This window comes from Homo sapiens, chromosome 13 (assembly GCF_000001405.40).
Source record: "Homo sapiens chromosome 13, GRCh38.p14 Primary Assembly".
Taxonomy (NCBI): Eukaryota; Metazoa; Chordata; class Mammalia; order Primates; family Hominidae; genus Homo; species Homo sapiens.
Window position 1 is genome coordinate 20,598,642 of NC_000013.11, and position 25,546 is coordinate 20,624,187.

General features: G+C 39.6%; 1 protein-coding gene and 2 pseudogenes across 58 annotated transcripts in view; all 3 read left to right on the forward strand.

Annotated features, from left to right (window-relative positions):
* The window catches only part of IFT88 (intraflagellar transport 88), a 124,288-nt gene that overhangs the window by 31,485 nt on the left and 67,257 nt on the right, over window positions 1-25,546 (forward strand). For 32 of the 58 annotated variants that reach the window (NR_134653.2, NR_148462.2, NR_148463.2 and 29 more), the window contains 5 exons: window positions 10-112; window positions 810-924; window positions 3,064-3,292; window positions 6,394-6,464; window positions 17,152-17,238. Coding sequence is in view for 52 of the 58 variants with exons in the window: in XM_047430655.1 (XP_047286611.1) it covers window positions 10-112; window positions 810-924; window positions 3,064-3,292; window positions 6,394-6,464; window positions 17,152-17,238 (605 nt within the window). In the remaining 6 variants the exon portion in view is untranslated. Of the gene's footprint in view, window positions 1-9; window positions 113-809; window positions 925-3,063; window positions 3,293-6,393; window positions 6,465-6,849; window positions 8,268-15,715; window positions 16,133-17,151; window positions 17,239-25,546 lie in introns of those variants that run through there. The other 26 variants (XM_024449413.2, NM_001353570.2, NM_001353576.2 and 23 more) reach the window with 6 other exon arrangements.
* SLC35E1P1 (solute carrier family 35 member E1 pseudogene 1) lies at window positions 8,391-11,941 on the forward strand (annotated as a pseudogene).
* On the forward strand, window positions 13,520-13,697 carry RNU2-7P (RNA, U2 small nuclear 7, pseudogene; annotated as a pseudogene).

The following is a 25,546-nucleotide window of genomic DNA, read 5'->3' on the forward strand; positions in this document are numbered from 1 at the left end:
CTTCCTTAGGTTCTTTTCAATTTGGCCAGTCAGTATTCAGTTAATGAAATGTATGCCGAAGCACTTAACACTTATCAAGTTATAGTCAAAAATAAGATGTTTAGCAATGCAGGTAAGTGTACATAATCAGTTTTTCCAATAGATGTAATTCTTTCGTAGTGTTAATTTATGTCTCTTCATTTTATGCTTCCTTAAAATGAAATGATCTATGCTCTAAACAAATCAGTATTTATGATAGGGGTATCCTGCTTAAACATACTATTTATATAAAAATCCTTACAGATGAAGAAATATAGTTAGTATGAGGTATATTGCCTAATAGTATCCTGTTATCACAAGTAGAATGAGCCATGACATCCTCATAGAATGTGCTTTTCCTTATATAAATTTATCCCCAAGAGATTATAGTTTATATTTAGCATTTATATTGTGTAATTTTTTGGTAGCAGTATTAATGTTTATCAGAATGTCGTTTCCTTTAATATTATTAAAATGTATGTGGCATTCTTGAGTCTAACTTTTAAATGTCTTTAAGTTCCATGTTTTCTTAGAAGAACGCACAATAATGTAAAGCACAATAATGTAAATCAGTTGTTTTCTAGCCATAGTTTCAGGAATCTGTCTTAAGTTCCATTTCTTCACAGGAGGTAAGTTTGAAAAGTATAACTGTTTTAAAGTTAGAATTTTAGATAATATCTGAGACTTCATAACTGAGAAATGCTTCAGAGAATATGAATTAAAAGTCATCTAAAATATCAAAGAGTGGAAAAATGAGAGTATTATACATTCATTAAATTTTTTTAAATTAGGAATATTGAAAATGAATATGGGAAATATCTATTTAAAGCAAAGAAATTATTCCAAAGCCATTAAATTCTACCGAATGGCATTAGACCAAGTTCCAAGTGTCAATAAGCAAATGAGGTAAGTTTATAACAATAGATAATAATTGTAAAATTTAAGTGTTTTTCTGAAACAAGATAACTCTTCTGACCTGTTTTCAGTGGGTTGAACATTTCAAAGTGTTTGTACATGAGATTTATACGTGTAGTATTTTGATCTGTTCCCTTCTTACTACTTGTACACATTTTTATAATGACAAGTTAAAGGTTAAAGCATTGTATATGATCATATGAAATAAAACTAAGTGACCAATAAAGGGGTTAACCCTGAAGGCCATTACTACCCTGATATAACTTAATGCGGACACAAAATCATAATAGCAGTCCTCCAGAACATATCAATACAAGGCTAGAAATTAAGCTCCCCTTACGTTCTTGCTGTAGCTTGAGAATGAAATAGAGAAAAGGATTACTTCTGAGTCTTAGAAGAGGGGGAAGCTGGGATATTTTCTATTATAATATTCAGGAGCAGAAACAGTAAGTTCTCTTATGGTCTAGTGATAACTGTGGGGACATAGGAAGTTTCCAAGATATTTACTGATCATAATTTCCCCTAGGCACAGTACAGTTTCTCTGTGAAAGTTAATTTATTTGCAATACCATCTTTTAAGATCATTCGTTTTTGAATTTTACATAATATCTCATTATCATTAGCAAATATTATCTAACTTACAGAACACAATGCCCTTGAAGTACTTTTAAGCCAGGTGAGACCAAGAATTTGAGCATTTTAGAAAAAAAATTGTATTGAGTAACATATATTAAGTGCTTCATAATCAATAATCAAGACAATGGGTGCTATAATAATTCAGTGGAAGAAATCATTATTGAGAACAAGAATGATCAAGAAAGGCTTTATGAAGGAGGCATACTTGATATTGACTCTTTAGGAGGAGAGAAGGGATAACATCTGAGAAAAAGGCAACACCTGAGACCAGTCAGGGAAATAATAGTCTTTATGATCTGATCAGAGAATTATGAATAAACTAATTGAGTTGAAATAGAGGGATTATATTGAGGAGTGTTTAGAAATAAGGTGGGATCACATCCATTAGAATGGCTCCAATCAAAGAAACAATAAGTTTTGGTGAGTATTTAGAGAAATTAGAAACCTCATTCACTGAGATGTCAAATGGTGCAGCTACTTCGGAAAACAGGCAGTTAGCTAAAAAAGTTAAAACACAAATTTACCATGTGACCAGCAATTCTGCTTTTAGGTATATACCCAAGAGAAATGAAAATATAGATCGTCACAAAGGCTTTTACACAAACATTCATAACAATTATTCATAATAGCCAAAAAGTAGAAACAAGACGAATGTCTACCAAGTAGGCAATGTATAAATAAAATATGGTATGTATTCATACTATGAAATGCTATTTGACAAAAAAAGGAATGAAGTACTGATACATGCTACAAAATGGAAGAATCTCAAAAAATTATGCCAAGTGAAAGAAGCAAGACAAAATATCACAAATTGTATGACTCCATTTATGTACAATGCCTAGAAGAGACAGAGAGACAGAAAATAGACTAATGGGCCGGGCACGGTGCCTCATGCCTGTAATCCCAGCACTTTGGGAGGCCGAGGCGGGCGAATCACCTGAAGTCAGGAGTTCCAGACCAGCCTGACCAGTATGGTGAAACCCCGTCTCTACTAAACATACAAAAATTAGCCCGGCGTGGTGGCATGTGCCTATAATCCCAGCTATTCAGGAGGCTGAGGTGGGAGAATTGCTTGAACCCAGGAGGCAGAGGTTCCAGTGAGCAGACATCATGCCACTGCATTCCAGCCTGAGCAACAGAGAGAGACCCTGTCTGAAAAAAAAAAAAAAAGACTAATGGTTACCTAGGGCTGGGAATAAGAATGGGGAATGACTGTTAATGAGCACAGGTTTTATTTTTAGGGTAATGGAAATGAATTAAAATAAGGATGTGGTTATAGTTCCACAACTATATAAATACAGCAATAATTATCGAATCATATACTTAAAATGAGTGAATTTTATGGTATTTATATAAAGCTTTTATCAATAAAGCTTTAACAAAACAAAAACGAAGTAAAGTGGGAGACGAAAAAAGAAAACTATTTGTGAATGGTTTGAATGCCATACTAAAGAGTTCAGAATTTTAAAGCTAATCCATGTCTTTTTCTTTTAGGATTAAAATAATGCAGAATATTGGAGTTACATTTATTCAGGCTGGTCAGTATTCAGATGCTATTAATTCATATGAGCACATAATGAGCATGGCACCAAATCTGAAGGCAGGCTACAACCTAACTATCTGTTATTTTGCTATTGGAGACCGAGAAAAAATGAAGAAGGCATTCCAAAAATTGATTACTGTTCCATTAGAAATTGATGAAGATAAATATATTTCACCAAGTGTGAGTATGAAAAAGACATTTCTGTAGCCACTTCCCACTTATCTGTGCTTTTCTGTTTTCAGAATGAGAAAGCCAGAATAGATGACTTCTTGGGTTTTTCCCAGGCCTGTATCAATGTGTTTTATTATTGATGTATTTCATTTTTTATTTAAATTGGGTTGAGAATGAGACTCTATTGAAATGGGGTAGAGATTATGGTTAAAACAGACTGCACAATTTTAGTAAAAAAATCATTAAAAATAAGATTCCATGTCATTCATTAAGCATAATATCTTTTTTTTTTTTTTTTTTTTGAGACAGAGAGCCTGCCTTCCAGGCTGGAGTGCAGTGGTGCAGTCTCAGCTCACTGCAATCTCTGCCTCCCAGGCTCTGGCAATTCTCATGCCTCAGCCTCCTGAGTAGCTGGGATTACAGGCATGCGCCACCATGCCCGGCTAAGTTTTTTATTTTTAGTAGAGAAGGGGTTTTGCCATGTTGCCCAGGCTGGTCTTGAACTCCTGGCCTCATGTGATCCACCTGCCTCCACTTTCCAAAGTGCTGGGATTACAGGTATGAGCCTGGCCAAGGGTAATATCTTGACCAAGAAACCTCCAAATCCTTATTTCACCTATTAAGAGCCATTGTGGAGCAGAGGGAACCTCAACTGTGTATAAATATCTCAAGAGCGAAGGCTGGGCGCAGTGGCTCACACCTGTAATTCCAGCACTTTGGGAGGCTGAGGTGGGCAGATTGCGAGGTCAGTAGTTTGAGACCAGCCTGACCAACAGGGCGAAATGCTGTCTCTACCGAAAATACAAAAATTAGCTGGGTATGGTGGTGGGCGCCTGTAATCCCAGCTACTTGGGAGGCTGAGGCAGGAGAATTGCTTGAACTTGGGAGGTGGAGGTTGCAGTGAGCCAAGATTGTGCCACTGCACTCCATCCTGGGTGACAGAGCAAGACTCTGTCTTGAAAAAAAAAAAGTGAAATAAATTCCTTATCCTTACTCATAGAGTGGAACATAATGCAGTTATCAAAAGTCATATTTTCAAACACCTAGAGAAATATTATATAATGTTAAGTGAAAACATACAGCTATGCACACTTATACATGAACATAAACTGGAAGAATTGACACCAATATAAAACAGTAGTTTCTGAGCTATGAGATTGTAAATGCTTTTGAAATATTTTCCAGATTTTTACAAATAAAATATTGGCATACTGTATATTAGTTTAAGGAAAATTGCCTCTATTTGTAGATAAAAATGGTACATTTTCAATTTCACAGAGTTGAACTTTTAATAGATTTTCTTAACAGATTATATTAGCTGGGCATGGTGGCGGGTGCCTGTAATCCCAGTTACTAGGGAGGCTGAGGCAGGAGAATCACTTGAACCCGGAAGGTGGAGGTTGCAGGAGCCGAGATCGCACTATTCACTCCAGCCTGGGTGACAAGAGCAAAACTCCATCTCAAAAAAAAAAAAAAAAAGATTATAAGAGTACTGTAGCATAGCAGAGTATAGGCTCTGAAGCCAGATGCCTTGGCTCTCCTACTCAGCTCTTACTCTCCCTGTGTCTCAGTTCTTTTATATATGTAATGGGATTAACTATTATAACCTATCTTACAGGGTTAAGGTGAGGATTATAGGTGAGGATTAAATGAGTTAATGCATGTGAAATGCTTAAAATAGTACCTGGCAGCTGGGCACAGTGGCTCACACCTGTAATCCCAGCACTTTGGGAGGCCGAGGTGGGAGGATTGCTTGAGCCTGAGAGTTCAAGATCAGCCTGCGCAACATGGCGAAACTCCATCTCTACAAAAAAATACGAAAATTAGCCAGGCTTGATGTTGCACACCTGTAGTCCCAGCTACTTGGGAGGCTGAGGTGGGAGGATCACCTGAGCCCGAGGAGGTCAAGGCTGCAGTGAGCCGTGATCACACCCCTGCACACTAGCTTGGGTGACAGAGTAAGACCTTGTCTCAAAAAAATAAAAAATTAGCCAGCCTGGTGGTGTGCACCTGTAGTCCCAGCTACTCTGGAGGCTGAGGTGGGAGGATCATCTAAGCCCGGGGAGGTCAAGGGTTTAGTGAGTTGTGATCACAACATTGCTCTCCAGCCTGGATGACAGAGTGAGACCTTGTCTCAAAAGTAAAATAACAAATAAAAAAAATATATATTAGCCAGGCATGGTGGCACATGTCTGTAGTCCCACCTACTCGAGAAGCTGAGTGGGAAGATGGCTTGAGCCCAGAAGTTGAGACTGCAGTGACCCATGATCATGCCACAGTGCTCCAGTCTGGGCAACAGAGCAAGACTCTGTCTCAAAACAAAACTAACCAAACAAAAAAAATGTATGTGAAAGATAGTTAAGTGCTGGGCAAATGTTAATTATTATATATTATTTTCATATTGAGAAAAAATAATATATGTTGTAAAATCATCTGTGTTTTTAATGGGGAGTAGAGATATGGATCATACTAAGTAATTGATGATTGAAGCATTTATATTTGAGTTTAGAATTAAAGTATTACATATTTGTACTAACAACCCCAGCTTCTGTGTACTTGGTCCTAATCTTTCCATCCTGATCCTTTTATCAGCTTCTTAGAATAGGTTAGTTCAATGGAGAATGTGATTGGTAATCAGAAATATGAAAAAGAAAGTTCTAATTTACATAAGGGAAAATAGAAGGATTAATTTACTCTCCCTTTTTTAAAACTAATTAGTAGGGAGGCTTATTGGAAATTCAAGTTCGTGGCTGGACATGATGGCTTATGCCTATAGTCCCAATACTTTGAAAGGCTGAGGTGAGCAAATTGCTTGAGCCAAGGAATTGAAGACCAGCCTGGGCAAAATGGTGAAACCTCATCTCTACAAAAAATACAAAAATTAGCCAGGCATCATGGCATGCCCCTGTAGTCCCAGCTACTTGGGAGGCTGAGGTGGGAGGATCACCTGAGCCCAGGGAGGTGGAGGCTGCAGTGAGCCATGATCATGCCACTGCACTGCAGCCTGGGCAATAGAGTGAGGCTGTATCTCAAAACAAAACAAAACAAAAATTAAGTTCTTGCTGTTTACTTCTGAATTATTCTTTTTTTCTTCCATTTTATTTTACCAGGATGATCCTCATACTAACTTAGTAACTGAAGCTATAAAAAATGATCACCTCAGGCAAATGGAACGTGAAAGGTAATATTTTAAACTTAATAACGTAGTTATTAATTACATTATTTAAAATATTTAATGTTTAGTATTAAGATACTTAATATTTGAAACTTAAAATAATTTAGTTTTAATTTTTATAAAAGGGTTGAATGTGCATTCTGTTTCTTACAGAACTTGTTATATTCAATATATTTCTTGAATAGTGCTATTATTTCACCATTTTTATACTTACTGGTTCTCTTTTCTCATTCAGAATAATCTCAGTGCTCATGCTAATCTCAATTACTCAATCTCAGTTATTCTGTCAGTTGTTTCCCTCTGCATTTGGTACATTATTGGAACTTTGTTTATCTTACCTTTATTTCAAAAATGACGTCTTTATGTTTTTTTATCCTGCCTCACAATTAAGGATCAGCTCTCAGAGACAAAATTCTATTTATTTCATTTCTTCCTTCCTCTAATATGGTACTACAACTTGTTTCTACTTACAACACTTCTGACACCAAATGTGTGGTTTTTCTCACACCAACAACCAATTATCCATCTCCCTGGACACCAAGGGCTTAGTCCCACAAGACTACTACCCTGTTCCTCACTACAGATGCCAGTTGTAAGCCTGTAAGCCTGGGCCTCCTGAACTCCTGACTGACCTGCTATGAATGGAAGGCTCCCACTACCCCCTCCTCAGGGTCAGTAGTTTTCTAGGAGAGCTCACAAAACTCAGGAAAATACTTTATTTGTACTTACCACGTTATTATAAAGGATACAACTCAGAGACAACCAAATGGAAGAGCTGCATAGGGCAGAATATGGGGGAAGTAGTGCAGAGCCTCTGTTGACTTTCTGGGTGCACCACCCTCCCAGCACCTCCGTGTGTTCATCAACCTGGAAACTCTCTGAACTGTGTCATTTAGGGTTTATATGTAGGTTTCATGATGTAGGCATGATTTTTATCATTGGCCATTGGTGATTGAACTCAGTCTGCAGCCTTTCTCCCTTCGCTGGAGATTGAGGGTGGAATTAAAAGTACAACTGGGGTGGTGTCAGAAAAGGCCAAGTGGGGAGCTAAGACTTTAACCCCTAAAGCCTGTTCCATTCCTCTGATGTCAGTGGATGACACGTGGGGAGCCTGGAATTCCACCCCTACCCAGCAGTACTGAAGCATCCCCCAACCCTTTCTCCTTGGGTAGTGTCAGAGGAGGCTTAGTGGAGCGTCAGGGCTTTAACTGTCACCCAGTTGTAACAAAGCCCTCCTATCATGATGTTAGTAGGACGGACTATTTGGGAAGCAAGAACTCCCACCCTGCCCAATAGATACAAGGACCCCTCTGCCTATTCTGGGTGTCAACGGAGGCCATGTGGCAGGGGCTGGATTTCCACCTTCACCTGGCAGTGGCAAGGTGGAGTGTCTCCTTCCTCTGCTGGAGTGGTATCCAGAAAGCCAGCTAAAACGATACTTAAAATCCAGGGTCTCATAATTCAGAAATGTCCAAGTGTTCATTAAGAATCATTGTTTGCTGGGCACGGTGGCTCACGCCTGTAGTCCCAGCACTTTGGGAGGCTGAGCCGGGTAGATAACCTGAGGTCAAAAGTTCGAGACCAGCCTGACCAATATGGTGAAACCTCATCTTTACTAAAAATACAAAAATTAGCCAGGCATGGTGGCATGTGCATGTAGTCCCAGCTACTCAAGAGGCTGGGACAGGAGAATTGCTTGAACCCAGGAGGCGGAGGTTGCAGTGAGTGCTAAGATAGTGCTACTGCACTCCAGGCTGGGTGACAGAGCAGGACTCCATCTCAAAAAATAAAATAAATAAATAAATAAAATAGTGTGAATAGCCCTATAAATCTTAAGGACATTGAATGATGCTTTTAAAACTCTGAAAAAAGAAACCTATCTCTAGGCCCAGATGGGTTTTACTGGAGAATTCTATTAAGAATTTATATCAGGGGCAGGAAGGGGCAGCCACTTGGGCAGGATGGCGGCGGCTACAGTGGGCAATGTGGTCAACTAGGTGATCCTGAGTGCCTTCCTGTTCCCGGTGACTGTGTCCTTGTGCCACATCCTGGTACTGTACGTGGGGCTCCTGCTGCTGCTGCACGCCTGGCGCTTGCCCCCTGCACCGCCCATCTCAGGCCCCGGGCCCAGTCTGCATTCGTCCCCTGGCCTGCTGCTGCCGCAGCACTTCTACCCGTACTGCGTGCTGCCACTCACCTTCGGCAAGTACTTCGCATCCCTGTCAGTGCACGTCAGCTTCTGGAAGGTGCCCATGTCCTATGCACACACCATTAAGGCCACCATGCCCATTTGGGTGGTCCTCCTGTCCCAGATCATTATAAAGAAGCAGAGCAACAAGGTGTACTTGTCACTCATCCCCATCATCAGCGGCGTCCTGATGGCCACGGTCACCAAGTTGTCTTTTGACATGTGGGGAGGCCGCCACGCTGTGCTTCTTGTTTCAGAACATTTTCTCCAAAAAGATCTTGAGAGATTTGCGGATCCACCATCTCCCGCTGCTCAACATCTTGGGCTGCCACGCTGTTTTTTTATGATCCCCACCTGGGTTCTGGTGGACCTCTCAGCTTTCCTGGTCAGCAGCGACTTGACTACGTCTCACAGTGGCCCTGGATGCTCCTGCTTCTGGCTGTCAGCGGCTTCTGTAACTTTGCCTAGAATGTCATTGCCTTCAGCATCCTCAACCTCGTCAGCTCTCTGAGCTATTCAGTTGTCAATGCCACCAAGAGAATCATGGTCATCACAGTGTCCCTGATCATGCTGCCCAACCCAGTCACCAGCACCAATGTCCTGGGCATAATGACTGCCATCCTCGGGGTCTTCCTCTACAAGACCAAGTAAGATGCAAACCAGCAAGTCAGGAAGCACCTCCTCCTGGCACCACAGTGGACCTGAGCAGCAAGGAACATCACCAGAGCCCACTGGAGAAGCCCCACCAATGGCCTCCTCTTCCCCCAGCACGGGGACTATCATGGCTGCAACAATATCTTAACAGACCACTTCCAGTACAGCTGGCAGAGCTACCCAAACTCTTAGTTTGAACCACTATGACTTGTAGAGTCCAGAGGACAGGACCAGACTGTTCTGCGACGGCTTCCCCTGCCCCCACAGCAGTTTCAGAAACTTCTGACATCCAGTGAATGTACAACCCAGCCGAGGGAATGGTGTGTAACTCTTCATCAGAAGCACCGGGGTTCCTGGCGCCCCATGAGCCACAGGAGGATGCGTTGCCTGCAGCACAGACGGCTGTGGGCTCTGGGCAAACCTAAACAGACACTGGTGTCTCATGCTCTTTCTTTCTGGAGACTGTCATCTGAGGGCCGGGTCCCTGCCGAGATCTTGGCCACGTTGTACCTTTCCATGTGGAATTATTCCCCAAACGGTGTATCTCAAAACACTTGTGTCTGCATTCCAGATAACATTCAGGACCCTGTCTGGAAAGCTGGGATCGCTGTGGCTGTAGACCATGGGCTGGCAGTGGGGGTGTCCAGGGCGGTGCTTGAGAACGTCAGACTGGCCATTTTAATTCCCCGGCTGAGATATGCATAGGACCAACAGGGTCACTGAGCAGACAAGGAGCCTGTGAGAATCATTCAAAAACATCCCCAGCCACAGAGATGGATCCCGTTTCCCAGTCATCCCCTTAATAGTTTGAAGTTCCTGGCAAAGGTTCCAAAGTGAAAAGCGATTGCAATTAGCATCCAATTCTTGCAGCCTTGCAGCCTGGTGCTCTGCCCTGCATGTCAGAGTTGGCATCCGGCTGGATCCAGAGGAAAGGGAAACTGCTCTCTCTCTCTCCTCTGCCTCCACTTCTCTTGGGGTAACAAAAAGGATCTTCGAGAAATCATGTTCAGTATTTCAAGCTCTATTTCTATGGCACTTATCTTTTGAGAGGAGTCTTCACCTCTTCAGTGATGACTTGGTAGGTTGTTTGGTAGGGAGATCTTGATTTTCTGAGGATGTTGCATTTTTCTAGGGAATATTTTGTAGTTGTGTGTGTGTTTAGCCTCGATCCCCATTACCCTATGCGTTAGGACTGGCTTATGGGTCAAAAACTGTTTTATTTCTAAATGTTTAAAAACAAAATTCCCACTGGTGATGCCTGTGTGACACATTTGGGTATTTAGTAGGAAACAATGCAGTGTTTCAAAGCTTCGAGAGAAGCTTCAAAATGGACACAATTGCTGAAAACAGAATGAATCATGAACATTATCTCAATGTTTTGCATAATAGACAAGACCACGGCGTTTTGGTTCCCTGACCTGTTTTGTGTTTATGTTAGGATCTGAATCATGTTCTGGGTAAGGAGAGGAGGAGCGAACACTGCACTAAGATTTGGTTTGCCAAATCAGATTCTTTGGTCAAGAGTCAGTTTAGGGCTGGGTGCGGTGGTTCAACCCTGTAATCCCAGCCCTTCGGGAGGCTGAGGCAGGTGCATCACTAGAGACCAGCCTGGCCAATGTGGTGAAATCTGTCTCTACTAAAAAGATGCAAAAATTAGCTGGGCATGGTGGCACATGCCTGTAGTCCTAGCTACTTGGGAGGCTGAGGCAGAAGAATCACTTGAACCCAGGAGGTGGAGGTTGCAGTGAGCCGAGATCATGCCACTACACTTCAGCCTGGCCAATAGAGTGAGACTCTGTCTCAAAAACAAACAAACAAACAGAAAAAAAACAAAAAACAAAAAACAAAGAACCAGTTTGGGTTTTGGCAGAAATCACATCAGGAATATTACACGACCCCAGTAGGTAACCCTGAGTGCTCAGGTCTGAGCTGAGGTCTCAGTCTTTTATGGCTTCATGAAAGGACTGTGCCCTCAGGGAGGGGACCATGGCTTGGCTTGTGGGGTCTTGGTGATGACTGCCATCTTTCTTCATCACCACACCCAGCTTCTTGCTGGCATTTGCGAGGAGACAGCAGCAGATAAGAGGTTCACCCTTTATCTCCCAGTGAGCAAGATGCTTCCCTGTTCAGAGAGGAAGTAACACTGCTTATGCTTGACTGCTGTTTTTTTTTTTTGTCTTTTGTTTGCTTTTCTTTTGATTGGAATTCTGTATTTAAGATGTTAAGTTGTGTCAGCTTACATATGGAACATTCCAGGAGAGGTGACTGGCCCCCCACCCTGCTTGGCAGTGGATTTCTGCATCACCAGCTTCAGAAGTGTCCCTGTTCGCTAGTCTGTTGTTTGCTTGCTTTGTAAATACTTTGGTCCCAAGCTGAGACAATTGCTGTGTAAAACGGGAAGAGTCAATCTTGAAGGGTATTATTTTTCAGAAGAATTTGCCGTGTGCCTTCACCGAAGGCAGTCAAGTCTGCAGTTGGATTTTTCTCACTAGGGAATGACAGGAAACGGGGATAATTTTGCACTGTGGATATATTACAGGAGTTGTCTATACGATTATAGTACCTGATTCTTTGGACATATCATTGAACTCCGAAATGAATTCAACCTCCAGGTTTAATGAAATCTCTGATGTTACTGGAAAAAAAAAAAAGGAATGAACATCAGTTCTACATTTCTTTCAGAACCTACTTTCCTTTATGAATGTAGAAGTACCCTACTACCAAAATCAGACAGTACCAAAAAAAAAAAGAAGAAAACTACAGATTAATATCATACGAATATATGAACATAGACTCAAAAGCAAATTGAAATATTAACAAAATTTAAAAAGAATTATGCATCTGGACCAAATGGGATTTGTCCCAGGAATGTGAAACTGGTTTAACATGTAAAAATCAATTAATATTATACAGGTGGCCAAGCGTGGTGGCTCTTGCCTGTAATCCTAGCACTTTGTGGTACCGAGGTGGGTGGATCACTTGATCCCAGGGGTTTGAGACCAGCCTGGGCAACATGGTGAAGCCCTGGCTCTACTAAAAATAACAAAAACTGAGGTGGAGGATCACCTGAACCTGGGGAGGTTGAGTCTGCAGTGAGCCGTGATCATGCCACTGCACACCAGCCTGGGTGACAGAGTGAGACCCCATCTCAAATAATAATAATAATTAATAATAATAATATATAGGATATCAGTGGAATGAAGGATGAAAACTACACAACCATCTCAGTAGAAACCAGGAAAATTTTTTCACAAAATTCAAAATGTTTTCAAGATTAAAAACAAAAAGTCCAACAAGAAACAAGTAGAAAGGAAGTTCCCCAATTTGATAAAGTACATCTGTGACAAACTCACGGCTAACATCATACTTAATGGAAAGAGACTAAATGCTAGCCTGGGCAACATGGCAAAACTCTGTCTCTACAAAAAAATACAAAAATTAGTCAGACATGGTGATATGCACTGTAGTCCCAGTTATTTGGGAGAATTGCTTGAGCCTGGGAGGTGGAGGTTGCAGTGAGCCAAAATTGTGCCACTGCACCCCAGCCTGGGAGACAGAGCATGACCCAGTCTCAAAAAAAAAAAAAAAAAAAAAAAAAAAGACTGAATGCTTTGCACCTAAGATCAGGAACAAGATAGGGATATCCGACTTTTACCAGTTTTTTGTTTTGTTTTGTTTTCTGAGATGGAATCTTGCTCTGTTGCCCAGGCTGGAGTGCAATGGCACAATCTCAGCTCACTGCAACCTCCGCCTCCTGGGTTCGAGCGATTCCCCTGCCTCAGCCTCCTGAGTAGCTGGGACTACAGGCGCCTGCCACCATGCCCGGCTAATTTTTTGTATTTTTAGTAGACATAAGGTTTCACCGTGTTGGCCAGGCTGGTCTTGAACTCCTGACCTCAGGTGATCCACCCACCTTGGCCTCCCAAATTGCTGGGATTACAGGCATGAGCCACCGCACCCGGCCCACTTTCACCAGTTCTGTTCATCATTGAACTGGAAGATTCTATCTTTGGCAGTTTGCAAAACAAATAAACTTAAAACTGGAGTTAAAGACATCCAGATTAGAAAGGAACAGTTTAAACCATCTTTTTTCAGATGACATGATCTTGTACATAGAAAATCCTAAGGAATCAACTTTAAAACTGTTAGAATAAATGAGGTTGTAGAGTAAAAAAAAATCAATATACAAAAATCAATAGTGTAGTGCAGAAATATATTAATATCTTCTCAGCCGTGTGGCTGAGATGAAGTGTAGTATTTGTATATCTGATGCTTCCGCTATCCAAGGACAATCTGTTAAATGGATTTTTGGAGCAGGGAGATTGAATAGGACCTTGCTCCATCTGCTGTATGCATTGACCTGGTAGTGCAGTAACTCCAGGAACTGTGCACCCCCTCAGGAAGAAAAGAAGAAATACACTATACACTACCCATGAATTATCCCAAAAATGAAATTAACATTTATAATTGCATAAAAATTATTAGGAATAAATTTAATGAAAGAAATGCAAAACCTAAACTCTGAAAACCATAAAACATGGGAAGAATATAAAGATACTAAATAAATTATGTCGTATTTTTATGGATAGGCACTTAATGTTATTAAAATGGCAGTGCTCCCCAAATTAATGTACAGATTCAGTGCCACCCTTGTCAAAATTCCAGCAACATTTTTACAGAAAGTGACAAATTGATCCTAAAACTCATATGGAAATGGAAGGGAACCAGAATGGCCCAAACAGTGTTGAAAAAGAAAAGCAAAGTTGGGACTCAAACTAGAAAGCAACATTGATGAAGACACTGTGAAGACAGAGGCATAAATGAATGGAATGGAATTGAGAGACAAGGAAAAAACTCTTACGTTTATAGCCAGTGGAGGTGCCAGGAAAATTTAAGAGAAGAAAGGAGAGTCTTTTCAACAAATTGTGCTGGGAAAAGTGGATATTCTCTTGCAAAAGAATGAAGTTGTACATCTCTTTCACACCATACACAAAAATTAACTAAAATGAACTATAGACCTAAATGTAAGAGCTAAAACTATAAAATTGTTAGAAAAAGAAGAGAAATATCATTGACTGTCGGTTAAGCAAAGGTTTTGTAGATATGACACCAAAAGCACAAGTGACATAAGAAAAAAATAGATAAATTGGACGTTATCAAAATTAAAAACTTATGTACTTCAGAGGACGCTATCCAGAGAGTGAAAAAATGACCTACTGAATGGGAGAAAATATTTGCAAATGATGTATCTGAGAGGGGACTTATTTCTAGACTATATAAGTAATGTCCAACTCAATAATAAAAAGGCCAATAGCCCAATTAAAAATGTGCAAAAGATATGAATAGATATTTCTTCAAAATAGATACACAGATGCCCAATACACACATGAAAAGATGCTGAACTTCAGTAATTGCTAGGGAAATGCAGCTGAAAACTGCAGTGAGATACTACTTCACACCTACTAGTATGCTATAATAAAAAAGAAAATAACAAGTATTGGTAAGAGTGTGGAGAAATTGGAACTCTTAAATGCTGATGGTAGGAGTATAAAATGGTGCTTTGTAAAACAGCATACAAGTGCCCCAAAAGGTTAAGCATAGACTTACCATATAACCCAGCAATTTTACGTCTAGATATTTACCCAAAAGTAATCAGAGTATATGTCCACATGACAACTTGTATACAGATTTTCTTAGTGATATTATTCATAATATCGAAAAATAGAAATAATCCAAATGTGCAACAATTAATGAAGGTATAAATAATATATGGTCTATCCATAATATGGGATGTGATTCAGCCATACAAAGGAATGAAGTACTGATACGTGCTGTTAGGTTGGTGCAAAAGTAATTGCGATTTTTCCCATTGAATGCAATTGCTTTTGCACCAACCAATACAATACAGATGAACCTTGAAAACATGATAAATGAAAGAAGCCAGTCACAAAAGACCACGTTTTATGATTCTGTTTATATGAAAGGTATAAATTAGGCAAATCTATAAAGATTTGCCAGGGAGTGTCTGCTAATGGATATTATGTTTCTTTTTGGGATGATGAAAATGTTTCAAAAGTGATTGTGGTGCTTGTTGCACAAATCTGTGACTATACCTAAACCATTGCATTGTAGACTTTATATTGGGTGAGCTGTATGGTATATGAGTTATCTCCCTATAAAGCTGTTTTTTAAAAATTCAGAAATATGTTTTTAAAATTACACGCCATGACCAAGTAGGATTAATTCGAAGGCTGCAAGGTTGCTTCATTATTTTTAAATCAATCAATGTAATTCACCATACTAACAAACTAAGGAAAAAATCACGATTCAGTAATGTTGAGAAAGCTGTCTCTTATTTCGTATGTTTTTGTGATGAATGAGTGTTGAATTTTGTCACATGCTTTTTCTGTAACAGTTGACATATAACATGGATATTACTCAGCAACAAAAAGGAATGAATATTGATATACGCAACAAATTGGATAGATCTGAAGGGAAGTATACTGTGCAAAAATAGCCAATTCTGGAAGATTATATATAACCTTATTCTTTATATATAACACTCTTAAAATGATAAAATTGTAGAACTGGAGATCAGATTAATGGTTGTTAGGAGAGATGAAGAAGGGGTGGGAGTTGGAGGAAAACAAAGGAATGGAAATATAGTGGGAATATTCTGTTTCTTGACTGTTATCAATGACAGTAATCTGGTTGTGATACTTGAAAGATGTTACTGTTGGAGGAAACTGGGTAAAGGGTACATGGAATCTCTTATGTTTTACAAATGCATGTGAATCTACAGTTGTCTCAAAATAAAGTTCAAAAGAAAGAATAACAAGATGAATGTTGAATGATTTGGAAAGATTATTTCTTTTCTTTTTTTTTTTTTTTTGAGACGGAGTCTCACTCTATCACCCAGGCTGGAGTGCAGTGGCCCGATCTCCGCTCACCGCAAGCTCCGCATCCCAGGTTCATGCCATTCTCCTGCCTCAGCCTCCTTAGTAGCTGGGACTACAGGCGCCTGCCGCCACACCTGGCTAATTTTTTGTATTTTTAGTAGAGACGGGGTTTCACCATGTTAGCCAGGATGGTCTCGATCTCCTGACCTTGTGATCCACCTGCCTTGGCCTCCCAAAGTGCTGGGATTACAGGCATGAGCCACTGCGCCCGTCCTGGAAAGATTATTTCTATATTAATACAGCATAGTATAAAGAACAAGTTATAGAATAGTATATACATTTTGAGTCCATTTTAAAAACCACTACTTATATATAAATTCAAGAAGAAATGACTAAGAGAACTTTTACCCACCACTATAAATTGGTATATCCACTTTGAAAAGCACTTGGAAATTTTCCAGTAACCTTGACGATAACACATTTTATATATGTACGTACGTGTACATATACATATACACACACGGATACAGATACACATATATGCACACAAAAGCAACAAATAGTAATTCAGTTTTACTCTTTACCACACACAATTTCTTCAGTGGTAATTTCACCCTTTACTTTCGTGTCTGCAGTGTAGGCTACGTAAGTTCCGCTGCAGGGCCTTGTGTTTCTCCAGTATCTCTTCAGTTTGTCAGAAGGCATCATAAAGCAGAAAAAGAAAAGAAATGAACACCGTTGACCCGGCAGGCAATCATGGCTTGCTAATTACGTTTCCTAGTCATGGTTTTAAACCTGAATCGTAAATAGATTTCTATGGTACCTGTCCATTGTTTAGTAGGCTTTTGTGGTATGTTAGTTTTGATAGATAATGTTTACACTTAAATTTTAGGAAATCCAAACTATTTTATACTGTATCTCTAAATACAACTTTTTGGTTTATTTGATATAGGAAAGCCATGGCAGAAAAATATATTATGACATCTGCAAAACTCATTGCTCCTGTAATTGAAACATCTTTTGCTGCAGGTTATGATTGGTAAGAGAGAAAGTCTATAATACTGCATAGATGTGGTTTTTTTCATAATTTATACTTTTAAATTTAAATTAATATTGTCATTAGAAAAGTGGATATGAATGTTGATTCATATTTATCAAGCAGATAATATTGTATGTTCAGATTAATATAGGCTATTATAAAAGTTATTAATAAGATACTTATTACTCATGTTATTTTGTAAATCAAGTAGTTATATAACACATTTCAGTCAACAATGGACCACATATATGACAGTGGTCTGGTAAGATAGGAAGCTGAAAAATTCCTATCACTAGTGACGTTGTAGCTGTCTCGAAATTGTAGCATGATGCATTATTCACTTGTTTGTGGTGATGCTGATATAAACAAACCTATGCTGCCAGTTGTATAAAAGTGTACAGTAATATCCTAGGCCTTCACATTCACTCAGAGTTTATTTTGTGACTCATCCAAAGCAACTTCCAGTCCTGGAAGCTCCATTCATGGTAAGCACCCTGCACAGGCATGACATTTTAAAAATCTTTTATACCATATTTTAATTGTACCTTTTCTATGTTTAGATAGATTTAGATATACAAATACTTACCATTGTGTTATATTTTCTTGTAGTATTCAATACAGTAACATGCTGTAGAGGTTTGTAGACTAGGAGCATTAGGCTATACCATATAGCCTAGGTGTGTTGTAGGCCATGCCATATAGGTTTGTGTAAGTACACCCTATGATATTTGCACAATGATGAAATTGCCTAATGACATAATTCTCAGAACATATCCCCATCATCAAGCGATGCCTTACTGTACAGTAAATACATAAACCAGTAACATAATTGTTTATTATCAAGTATTATGTACTGTACATAATTGTATGTGCTGTGCTTTCATAAGACTGACACAGTGCAGGTTTGTTTACACCAACATCACCACAAACACATGAGGTGTGATACAGCATTACAGCACCTAGGATGTCACTTGGCAATAGGAATTTTTTAGCACCATTATCTTATGGGACCACTGTTGTCTATGTGGTTGGTCCTGGACCAAAACTTTTTTTTGGTTTTTTTTTGTTGTTGTTGTTGTTTTGAGACAGAGTCTTGTTCTGCCTCCCAGGCTGGAGTGCAGTGGCGCAATCTCGGCTCACTGCAAGCTCCACCTCCTGGGTTCTCGCCATTCTCCTGCCTCAGCCTCCCAAGTAGCTGGGACTACAGGCGCCCGCCACCAAGCCCAGCTAATTTTTTTTTCAGTTTATGTAAAAATTTATTTGACCAAAATGTAGAAAAAGTGATACTATTACATATGATACAGTTGCAAGAATCTAAAGAAAAGTGTGGATTTTATTCCATTGCACAATTTGCTAGTGTGTTTCCTGGGTAGTGTGGTGCTGAATAAGTAGGAGTGGGTTGGTGGGGTGGGGTGGGTAAGGGATTCAGATAAGCCAGAAGCAGGGTGATTTTTAGTCGGAATTGTAAACTTTAGTTGGCCCCCACACGCTGCTGGGGAATGTGGAATGTTCCATCTCTGAGATGTTAACTGAGAAAAGAGAAGTCAAACAAAGCCGATACGTGCAGCCCTGTCTATAGAATCCTTCATTATCCAGTTTAATCAGGAGTTTCTTGGTCTTTTATTAACTTGGACCCAAAGAAGGAATTCAAGTCCTAGATAAGTAAATCTTCAATTTGCTATTCCCTGAAGGATGGAAATGAAGTTGGGCCAATTTTTCATCTCTGTTGCCAGAGAGGCCCTTTCTGCTAATACGTAAAAACTCTTTTGCTCAACTTAGTAATGACTTGTAGTCTTTTGGATATGGCTGACCTGAATTGGACTGAACTCCACCATATTCCTGCTGAGTGGGTCATTACTGGAATGAGACTTCAGAGAATGCAGACTGGAATGCTCTTCAGAGAACAACTTTATTTTTATTTTATTTTTTCTTGAGATTGAGTCTCACTCTGTCAACCAGGCTGGAGCGCAGTAGTGTGATCTCGGCTCACTGCAATCTCCACTTCCTGGGTTCAAGTGATCCTCCTGCCTCAGCCTCCCGAGTAGCTGAGACTACAGGCAGGCGTCACCATAATTTTTGTATTTTTAGTAGAGACAGGGTTTCGCCGTGTTGGCTGGGCTGGTCTCGAACTCCTGACCTCAAGTGATCTGTCCTGGCCTCCCAAAGTGTTGGGATTACAGGCGAAAGCCACCGTGAAGCCCAGCTAATTTTTTTGTATTTTTAGTAGAGACGGGGTTTCACCATGTTAGCCAGGATGGTCTCAATCTCCTGACCTCGTGATCCGCTCGCCTTGGCCTCCCAAAGCGCTGGGATTATGGTCGTGAGCCACTGCGCCTGGCCGGATCAAAACTTTTTTATGTAGCACATGATCGTTGTTCATTGGAATTGCCCTGGTTACTTGTTAAAAGTGCGGATAATCTGGCTCCCCACATCTTTCTCTGTAGATCTGAGTCAGGGTTCTGAGGTCTGGAGTGAGTATTTACATTTGTGTCAAGCCTCCCCAAGTGATTCTGATACCTACTATACTGTAACTCTTTACCAGTGGTATGACTGCATATTAAAATCAGGGGATTTTAAATAGTCCCAACACACAGGCTGCGTGGTAGACTAGTTGAATCAGAATTTCTGGGTGTTGGGACAGAGGGATCAGTATTTATAAAGCCGCCTAGGGGGTTCTGTGATATAAATCCCACATACAGCTCTATACTATGCAAATAGTTCTTGAATGCCACTGACTGAGGAGCTCATTAAAAGTAGAGATTCAGTTGGTCTTAAATGGGATAGAACATCTATATTTTTTTAATGCTCTCCAGGTAGTTGTCATGTGTAATGGAAATTACGCATAATTCAACTGTTCTACTGAAAAACAGAAGAGAAAACTTAGTTCTGCAATTATTTGCAATTTTTACTATGAATTCTTCTGGCATTCTTACTATATTTCTGTTAACTTCTTTGTATATGATTAAATTATTTTTTTTTCCCTTTTTTTTTTTTGAGATGGAGTCTCACTCTTGTCACCCAGGCTGGAGTGCAGTGGTGCAATCTCGGCTCACTACAAGCTCCACCTCCTGAGTCCACGCTATTCTCCTGCCTCAGCCTCCTAAGTAGCTGGGACTACAGGCGCACATTGCCACGCCCGGCCAATTTTTTGTATTTTTAGTTGAGATGGGGTTTCACCGTGTTAGCCAGGATGGTCTCGATCTCCTGACCTCGTGATCCACCTGCCTCGGCCTCCCAAAGTGCTGGGAGATTAAATTATTTTTAACCTTTTTTCTGGAATTGTTTATGTTTGTTAAATATAAACATACAAAAAATTATCCGAAATGGTAACTCAGCTCAACGATACATCACAAAACAAACAAACATTTAGCCATTGCATACCCTAATAAATAAAATTTAAAGAATAGAACATTGTTAGCACATTACAAAATGCCAATCCTAATCACTGGCTACCCAGCTCTGAAGAGTGACTGATGTCCCTGAAGAGTGACTTTGATGATGATAACTTCCTTGCTTTTCTTCATTCTTTAACCATCTAAGCAGGCATCCATAATTTAGTTTTTCCAGGTTTTAAAAGCATCATATAAATGGAATCATACCGTACATATTCTTTTGCATATGACTTCTTTTACTCTGTGTTTGTTAGTGTTGTCCATGTCCTCGCATGTAGCTGTGGTTTGTTCATTTTCATTGCTATCTAGTAGTTCATGGTATTAATATGTAAAAATGTATCCATTTCAATGTGACTGGGTGTTGTGATTTGCAGTTTGAACCTGTTGTAAATGCTCCTATCAATATTATGGTACAGTTGTGCACATCTCTTGGTGGGTGGTGCCGATATTTCTGTTAGATACATACCTATGAGTGAAATGGCTTGATCCTATGGTGTGTATATGTTCAGCTTTAATAGATACCGCTAAACAGTTTTCCAAAGTTCCTGTACTTGTTTACACCCCCACCAACAGTGCATGAAAATTCGAATAGCTTACAAATACTTGGTGTATTTTGTATTTTTTCATTTTAGCCAGCCATACTGTGGCATCTCATTGTAGTTTTAATTTGCATTTCACTCTCAGCAGATTTTATATGTTTATTTACCATATGAATATTATTTTTTGAGAAGTGCCCGTTCAAGACTTTTGCCCTTGTTTCTATTTCTTTGGTTAGTTCTTTTTGTGTCCTTTTAAGGCAACTTTTGCATACCCCAACTTCATGAAAATATTTTCCTATGTTTTCTTCTAGAGGTTTTACCTTTCACATTTAGATACAGGATCTATATGGAATTGATTTTTGTGTGTAGTGTGAAGTAAGGTCAAGATTTTTTTTTTCTTTTCTCTCTCTTTTCTTTTCTGTAGTAGGGCTATCCAGTTAACCCAGCATGATTTATGGAAAATAGTTTACTTTTTCCACTGCACTGTAATGTCACCTTTGACATATACCAAGTGACTATATATTGGTCTGTTTGTAGAATCTTTATTCAATCCCTTTGGTCCATTTATCTACTCTTGTCGTCAAACCACATTGCCTACATTTCTATAGTTTATAGTAACACTTGATATCTGGTAGTGCTATGATCTGAATATTTGTGTTCCCCCAAAATTCATATGTTGAAACCTAACCCCCAAGGTGGTAGTATTAGGAGGTCGTCCTTTTCAAGGTGATTAGGACATAAAGGTAGGACACTTTATTTTTATTTTTGTTTTTTGAGACGGAGTCTTACTCTGTCGCCAGGCTGGAGTGCAGTGGCGCGATCTCGGCTCACTGCAACCTCCACCTCCCGGGTTCAGGCAATTTCCCTGCCTCAGCCTCCTGAGTAGCTGGGACTACAGGCGCCTGCCACCACGCCTGGCTAATTTTTTGTGGTTTAGTAGAGATGGGGTTTCACCATGTTAGCCTGGCTCGGCCTCCCAAAGTGCTGGGATGATAGACGTGAGTCACCACATCCAGCTGGTAGGACACTTTTTGAATGGAATTAGTGCCCTTATAAAAAGAGACTCTGGAGAGCTAGCTAGCCCCTACTATTATGTGAGGACACAGCAAAAAGACAGCATTCTATGAAGCAGGAAGTGGTCACTCACCAGACAGCCAGCCTGCTGGCGCCTTGTTCTTGGACTTCTCAGTCTTCGTAACTGTGAAAAATAAATGTCTTTGTTTAGGCTACCTAGCTTATGGTTTGGTGTTTTTTTTGTTTTGTTTTGTTTTGTTTGACAGAGTCTTGCTCTGTCACCCAGGCTGGAGTGCAGTGGCGCAATCTCTGCTCACCGCAACCTCCACCTCCCTAGTTTCAAGAAATTCTCGTACCTCAGCCTCCCAAGTATCTGGGACTAAAGGCACACACCACCACACCTAGCAAAGTTTTGTATTTTTAGTAGAGACAGGATTTAGCCATACTGGCCAGCCTGGTCTCAAACTTCTGGCCTCAAGTGATCTGCCCACCTCAGCCTCCCAAACTACTGGGATTACAGGCGTGAGCCACCATGCCCGGCCGAGTTTATGGTATTTCATTATAGCAGCCTGCACAAACTAGAGCAGGCAGTATAAGTCCTCCAGCTTTGTTGTTGAGGATTACCTTGAGTATTCTTGGTCCTTGTCATTTCCACATATATTTTAAAACCAACTTGTCAATTTTCCCAAAACCTGCTGAGATAAAAAAAAAAAAAAAAAAAAAAAAAAAAAAAGACTTTTTTAAAAAAGTAAAAAATCCAAAGACTTTTTTTTTAGAACAGTTTTAGTTTCTTAGCATAATTGAACAGAATGTACAGAGTTTCCATATATTTTCCCCACTTCCTACCCAGAGCCTCCCTCACCAATATGCCATCCCAGTATGGTACATTTGTTACAATCAATGAACCAATATTCACATAGTATTACCATGTGAAGTCCATAGTTTATGTTAGGATTCTTTGTGTTTTAATTCTGGGGGTTTTGACAAATACATGATGTCCTGTACCCACCATTGTAGTATTGTATAGAATAGCTTCACTGCCCTAAAAATCTCCTGTGTTGTACCTATTCATCCCTCCCTCTCCCAAACCCTTAGCAACCACTGATCTTTTTACTGTCTCCATAGTTTTGGCTTTTCCAGAATATCACAGGGTTGGAATCATTTAGTATGTTGGCTTTGCTGATTGGCTTCTTTCATTTAGTGGTATCTCTTGAGTATCCCTTATCCACAATGCTTGGGACCAGAAGTGTTTTGGATTTTGAGGTTTCTTGGATTTTTGAATATTTCTGTTTACCAATTGAGCATCCCAAATCCAGAGTCTGTAATCCTCCAATGAGCATTTTCTTTGAGCATCATATTATGTCTGTGCTCAAAAAGTTTCAGATTCTGTTGTATGGATGTTTATTCATTCACCTATTGAAAGACATCTTGGTGGCTTCCACAGTTTGGCAATTTTGAATAAAACATCCATTGTGTAGGTTTTTGTGTGAACATACAGTTTCCCCTCTTTGGATAAATACCAAGGAGCGTGATTATTGGAAATTACAGTAAGTATATATTTGGTTTTGTGAGAAACTGCCAAACTCTTTCAAAGTTGCTGTACCATTTTGCATTCCCATTAGCAATAGATGAGAATTTCTGGGGTGCCACATCCTCACCAACATTTGGTAATGTCAGTGTTTCAATTTTGGCCTTTCTAATAAGCGTATGGTGGCGTCCCATTGTTGTTTTAATTTGCAATTCCCTAATGACATATGATGTCGAGCATCTTTTCATGTACTTATTAGCTATTTGTATACCTTATTTGGAGAAGTGTTTGTTCAGGTCCTTTAACATTTTTGAATTGGGTGGTTTGGTTTTTGTTTTGGAGTTTTAGGAGTTTTCTATACATTCTGGATATTAATCCATTATCAGATGCATGATTTGCAAATATTTTCTCCCATTCTGTGGATTACCTTTTTACTCTGTTGATATTTCTTTGAGGCAAAAACTTCTTAAATTTTCATGAGGTCCACTTTGTCTATTTTTTCTTTTGTTTCCTGTGACTTTGGTGTCACATCCAATAAATTGTCAAATCTAATGTCATGAAGCTTTTGCTTTGTGTTTTCTTCTAACAGTTTTTTTAGTTTTAGATTTTACAGGGAGGTCTTTGATTCATTTTGAGTTAATTTTTGTACATAGTGTTAGGTAAGGGTGCAACTTCATTACTTATGCATAGTTTTCCTGGCATTGTTTGTTAAAGACTGTCCTTTTCTCACTGAATAGCGTTGGCATCCTTGTCAAAAAGCATTTGACTGTATATGTGGTGGTTTGTTTTCGGGCTCACTACTCTATGCTATTGGTCTACATGTCTGTCTTCCTGCCAGTACCACACTGTTTTGATTACTGTAGCTTTGTAATTACTTTGAAATCAGAAAATGTGAGTCCTTCAGCTTTGCTTTTCTTTTTCAAGATTGTTTTGGCTATTTGGAGTCCCTTGAAATTGCGTATGAATTTCAGGATGGATTTTTCTGTATCTGGAAAAATAAGCCATGGACATTTTGGTAGAGATTGCATTGAATTCATAGATTGCTTTGAGTAGTATTGATATCTTAAATGTAGTAAGTCTTCTGGTCCATAAACATGGGACATGTTTCCATTTATTGATGTTTTTGTTTTGTTTTGTTTTGAGATGGAGTTTTGCTCTGTCGCCCAGGCTGGAGTGAAGTGTCGTGATCTCGGCTCACTGCAAGCTCCGCCTCCCGGGTTCACGCCATTCTCCTGCCTCAGCCTCCCAAGTAGCTGGGACTACGGGCACCCACCACCATGCCCAGCTAATTTTTTTTGTATTTTTAGTAGAGATGGGTTTCACTGTGTTAGCCAGGATGGTCTCAATCTCCTGACCTCGTGATCCTCCCACCTCAGCCTCCCAAAGTGCTGGGATTACAGGCGTGAGCCACCACACCCAGCCTCCATTTATTTATGTTTTAAAAAATTTCTCTCGGCAATGTTTTATAGTGTTCCATGTTCAAGTCTTTAACCTCCTTGGTTATCCTTATTCCTAAGTATTGTATTCTTTTTGGCACTGTTGTCGATGGAATTGTACTCTTAATATCCTTTCCAAGTTGTTTGTTTTTAGTGTATAGATAAATGGAAGTGAATTTTGTGTGTGGATTTTGTATCCTGCTACATTGCTTAATTTCCAGCAAGTTAGGCATTTCTTATTATCTTTTCCTTTTTTGATTTCTAGTTTAATTTTATTGTGGTAGAAGATATTCATTGAATAATTTCAACTCTGAAATTTGTTGCAGCTTGGTACGCAATCCAAATGGACTTGAAAAGAACATGTATTCTGCTGTTGTTGGGGATAACATCCTGTGTATG